The sequence below is a fragment of the Homo sapiens genome, chromosome X (assembly GCF_000001405.40).
Source record: "Homo sapiens chromosome X, GRCh38.p14 Primary Assembly".
NCBI lineage: Eukaryota > Metazoa > Chordata > Mammalia > Primates > Hominidae > Homo > Homo sapiens.
Genome location: NC_000023.11, coordinates 125,777,893 through 125,783,769, shown reverse-complemented (window position 1 = coordinate 125,783,769; position 5,877 = coordinate 125,777,893). Strand labels below are relative to the sequence as shown.

At 37.1% G+C, this 5,877-nt stretch overlaps 1 annotated feature.

Annotated features, from left to right (window-relative positions):
* Positions 3,506-4,464: an enhancer, noted in NCBI's record as "OCT4-NANOG-H3K27ac hESC enhancer chrX:124913288-124914246 (GRCh37/hg19 assembly coordinates)". NCBI's record gives its function as "activates a minimal SCP1, AML or CMV promoter by ChIP-STARR-seq in naive H9 embryonic stem cells {active_cell/tissue: H9 hESC(naive)}" and the evidence as "EXISTENCE:reporter gene assay evidence [ECO:0000049][PMID:30033119]".

Below are 5,877 nucleotides of genomic sequence, written 5' to 3'. Positions count from 1 at the left end.
AACAGGTGCTCTCAAATACAGATTTCTGGTAACAGAAAAACGTACAAGACTCAAAAAAGCTGAAATGTTTACTAATATCAAGCAGAACAAGAGTTAATGGAAAAGACTAAATTAATAGAAAACTAAAGCAATTTTTTTAACTTATGTTGGAACATTGCTGATTCTTATTTTCTCTGTCTGAGTCAAGGAAACTTGTCCTAAGCTAGCTACAGCCTTTAACAACTGAGTAAGGTACACTCCTGTAAGCAAGGTTTGGAACATGTTTGTTTCTCTCTGCCGGGTTCCTCTAAAATTCAGAAACTGGTTGTGAGTATTCTTAGCTTATAACAATATAGTTGTTTGCATCAGTGCAATACGAATCCATTTTATTTTGCAACAGGACATAATTGGAAAGATTGGTTGTTTTACCAAGTCTTTGACTGAAAGGGTGTGTTCCCCTTTGAAGAATCAAAATTGACTTGCAGAGCCAATAAAAGCCCCTTGGAAAAACTAGCCTCATACTTTGTCTACACAGCCCCTGTACAGGGTTCCTGACTTGTGGGATTAAAGAATGTCACTTTCTAGCAGGCATAGGATACCCACGCTCCTGGAACATCAAGAAGAAAGAAGTTTACCCAACTCACAAGTATTTGAGGGTATAAAAACATGTCTGGGCTCGGCTTTAAAAAGTCCTATCTGAGATTCCTTGTGGAATAAAGTTCCATCAAAGCCAATCTAAAAGGCCTATGTAAAAATAATTATTCTTGCTGCACTTTATGCAAATAATCAGACCAAGTTTAAAACTAAAGTGTATTTTGGAAACAAAATAGTCCTATCATATTTTTTAACAGAAATGAGGACTAAAAAGAGGGAAACGATGTTCCAAACTTATCATACATCTGTCATTGACTTCTAGTCTTATTAGTTGTTTTTAAGTTCTTGCCTACATTTGAAACTAACCCTGCTTATTCCTACAAGCCAACCAGTAATCTCTGGCTGCAGCTCAGAGGAAACAGAAAGGGATGGGTAATGTAAAAATCTGGTACAATGTTCTAGTTCTGGGCAACTAGTCTACATATCCTGCCAGGTAACCTATAACCCTGAGGTTACCTTTTTGGGAAAGTAAGACCAAGGAAGCTAAACAAAGCTAAGCCCCATGCACCCAAATCTTAACGGGCTAACTATAGCCACCAGTTATCAGGGCATGTCAGCAGACTCAGGGTTTTTAAGTTGTCCTTACCTCCTCCTTGTCTCGTTTTAATACATAATCACTAATAACCCAAATTGTTTCTTTCCACCTAAAAGCTATCAAGCTCCAAATGGTAATGCAAATGGAACCATGCATAGACATGCCTTTCAACTGAGGACACTTAAACCAGCCCCTGGAGGAATCCTAGCTGCTGCTCCCCACACAATGCCCCTCTCCAGCAGGAAGTAGACAGAAAGATCAATGCCCTATCTCCCTAACAACAGTTAGGGTTTCCACTCCTGAGGTAGGGAATAAGGGAGAAGGAAGGAAAAAAAAAACATTTGGGAAAAATTCAGACTACAGAAGCAGACTGTCTGAAAAGTCACGGCAACAGGCAAAAATAAAACAACCTGGGGAAAAAAAAAAAAAAAAAAAAACTCAGGCTGCACCTGGATAAGCAAAACAGGGTCCAACACAGACATTCTTTCCTCTTTTTCTAATTAGCGAGCTCCCAGGAAAAAGTTTTCTCCCCTTTTCAGGCATAAATATGGTGGGAACTTACACAGAGAGGAGGGGGGCTTATCTAAAACAACCTACCATTATATAAACAAGAGAAATGGCTTTTTGTGCTTGCCTAGAGACATACGCACAGCTGCATGAGATAAGGGGAGTTGCACAGATAGCTTTACTGATAAGAGAAATTACTCAAACTGCTACAGAGATGAGAGGAGTTTCTTATAAAAACTTTTGAATTGAGCTGTAACCCGGCAATCCACTCGGACTCCCCTCTCTACTGTGGAGTGCTTTTTTTTTTCAATTGTTAAACTTTTGCTCCAACTCCACCTTTGTGTCTGCATTCCTTAATTTTCTTGGATATGACAAAGAACCCGGGATACTAGTTCAGACAATGAGAAACTGCTACATTAAGGTGCATTGGTGAGACTGCAACAATACTACCAAAAGCAATCTACAAATTCAATGAAATTCCCATTAAAATACCATCATCATTCTTCACAGAACTAGAAAAAGCAATCCCAAAATTCATATGGAACCAATAAAAAGAGCTCACATAGCCAAAGAAAGACTAAGCAAAAAGAACAAATTGGGAGGTATCACATTACCTGACTTCAAACTATACTACAAGGCTATAACCAAAACAGCATAGTACTGGTATAAAAACAGGCATGTAGACCAATGGAACAGAATAGAGAACCCAGAAATAAGGCCAAATACTTGTATCCAGCTGATCATCAATGAAGCAAACAAAAACATAAAGCATGGAAAGGACAAACTCTTCAACAAATATTGCTGGGATAATTGGCATGCCACATGTAGAAGAACTGAAACTGCATCCTCATCTCTCACCTCATACAAAAATCAAATCAAGATGGAACAAAGACTTAAATCTAAGACCTGACCATAACAATTCTAGAAGATAACATTGGAGAAACTCTTCTAGACATTGGCCTAGGCAAAGAGTTCATGACCAAGAACGCAAAAGCAAATGCAACAAAAACAAAGATAAATAGATGGGATGTTATTAATCCATTTATGCCTGAGGTTGCAATTTTTTGAATTTTTGCTATCAGACCTTGGCGATGAACTTGATCAGTAGAATATAAATAACTCCCAGATGTTTAACGTTCTAATAATAGAACACTAGGCATAAGTTTAAACTAAACAGCTTCTGTACAGCAAAAGAAATAATCAGCAGAGTAAACAGACAACCCACAGAGTGGGAGAAAAATCTTTGCAAACTATGTATTGGACAAAAGACTAACATCTAGAATCCACAAGGAACACAAACAAATTAGCAAGGAAAAAAAATAATAATTCCATAGAAAAGTGGGCTAGGAACATGAATAGACAATTCTCAAAAGAAGATATACAAATATCCAGCAAACATATGAATAAATGCTCGACATCACTAATTATCCAGGAAATGCAAATCAAAACCACAATGTGATAACACCTTACTCTTGCAATAATGTCCATAATTTAAAAAATCAAAAAATTATAGATGTTGGTGTGGGTGTGGTGAAAGGGAACACTTTTACACTGCTGGTGGTAATGTAAACTAGTGGAATCACCATAAAAAACAATATGGAAAATCCTTAAGGAGCTGTAGGGGTGGGTTGCCCCTACACACCTGTGGGTGTTTCTCGTAAGGTGGGACGAGAGATTTGGAAAAGAAAAAGACACAGAGACAAAGTATAGAGAAAGAAATAAGGGGACCCGGGGAACCAGCGTTCAGCATATGGAGGATCCCGCCAGCCTCTGAGTTCCCTTAGTATTTATTGATCATCTGTGGGTGTTTCTCAAAGAGGGGGATGTGTCAGGGTCACAAGACAATTGTGGGGAGAGGGTCAGCAGACAAACACGTGAACAAAGGTCTTTGCATCATAGACAATGTAAAGGATTAAGTGCTGTGCTTTTAGATATGCATACACATAAACATCTCAATGCTTTACAAAGCAGTATTGCTGCCCGCAGGTCCCACCTCCAGCCCTAAGGCGGTTTTTCCCTATCTCAGTAGATGGAGCATACAATCGGGTTTTATACCGAGACATTCCATTGCCCAGGGACAGGCAGGAGACAGATGCCTTCCTCTTGTCTCAACTGCAAGAGGCGTTCCTTCCTCTTTTACTAATCCTCCTCAGCACAGACCCTTTACGGGTGTCGGGCTGGGGGACGGTCAGGTCTTTCCCTTCCCACGAGGCCATATTTCAGACTATCACATGGGGAGAAACCTTGGACAATACCTGGCTTTCCTAGGCAGAGGTCCCTGCGGCCTTCCGCAGTTTTTGTGTCCCTGGGTACTTGAGATTAGGGAGTGGTGATGACTCTTAAGGAGCATGCTGCCTTCAAGCATCTGTTTAACAAAGCACATCTTGCACCGCCCTTAATCCATTTAACTCTGAGTTGACAGAGCACATGTTTCAGAGAGCACAGGGTTGGGGGTAAGGTTATAGATTAACAGAATCTCAAGGCAGAAGAATTTTTCTTAGTACATAACAAAATGGAGTCTCCTATGTCTACTTCTTTCTACACAGACACAGTAACAATCTGATCTCTCTTGCTTTTCCCCACAAGGAGCTAAAAGTAGAACTACCATTTGATCCAGCAATCCCATTACTGGGTATCTATCCAGAGGAAAAGAAGTCATTATATGAAAAAGACACTTGCACGTGCATGTTTATAGCAGCAAAATTCACAATTGCAAAATATGAAAAATATGAAATTAGCCTAAATGCTCATCAACCAATGAGTGGATAAAGAAAATATGAATATGAAATGAAAGACAAATACCATGTTCTCTCATTTATATGTGAAATCTAAAAAAGTTGAACTCATAAGAGTGGAGAGTAGGATGGTGGTTACCAGAGGCTAGGGTGAGGGAATAAATTGGGGGATTGTAGGCCAAAGGGTATAAAGTTTCAGTTATACCGGAGGAATAAGTTTTGAGATGTATTGCACAACAGAGCAACTATTGTCAATAAAAATGTATATTTCAAAACAAGGAGTAAATCTCAAATGCCTCACCACAAAAAATAAGTAAGTGAGGCATTGGATATGTTATTTAGCTTGATTTAATCATTTCACATTACATACATATATGAAAACATCACATCATACCTATGAATGTATACAACTATGATTTGTCAATTTAAAATAATTTTAGTTTAAAAATAAATAAAAATAAACCATATCAGGGACACTGAAGAAAATTTTCTCATTTTAATTGCAGATTACCGGTGGCTAATTGTGCTCCAGAGAGCATGTAACTGTAAATATGCTTACAACATCTTAATAGCAGTTGGGTAAACATGCTATATATATGAGATGGGAAAGCTTACCTAAATGATTGAAGTTCATTATGCCAAATTACCCCAAACTAGAAATAAAGTTTGGAAGTAAATGACACTTGCTTTTGTTAATTTCTATCCTTGTAATACTTATGCTACTAAATACCCTTTTTTGGATATTTGACAAAGATACTGAAAACCGGTCAAAAATATCCCTGCTCATCTGAAATATTTGCACTCCCTATGTGATTTTTTTCTGAAGAGACATGCCTTACTGCTTTCATACCCTTTCACCAGGGTGAGTCAGGGTGCGTTCACTTTTCATGCCACTAAGTAAAGGGAACAATCACACCTAGGAGTTTATTTATTTATACAGTCTGCACTCTTTATGGGCAGTGAACATTCCATCGAAAACCTCTTTAACTGATGCATTATTCAGTAACTTGTTCCATTTTCACTTTGCAGTTATTTTCTATTTATAATGGCATTGGATTTTTAACTCTATTTTTTAAATAATAACACTTGAAAATTTAATAATAACTTACACTATGACTGATATTTCCCTGATTGTGTTATATTATATTTCAAATAAATTTTATATAAAAACTCAATTCAATGGAACATCTTGTCTGAAACAAAATTCTGCATACATTCTAAATAAATTATTTTTTACTCAGAAATGAATTCCTATTCTGTTACATACTGTTCTCTTTCCAGACCCAAGTATATTTAATCTTATTTGTACTTTTCTTCAGAAAAAAATCTTATTAAATGGTTATATTGCAATTAATATATTATTCTTATTAATATGTTTTCAAAATTATAAAATTCAGAAATGTTGTTTACAAGATATGTCTTCCCTTGTAAAATTTTGCCTAATATACAAACACTTTACACTCAAGG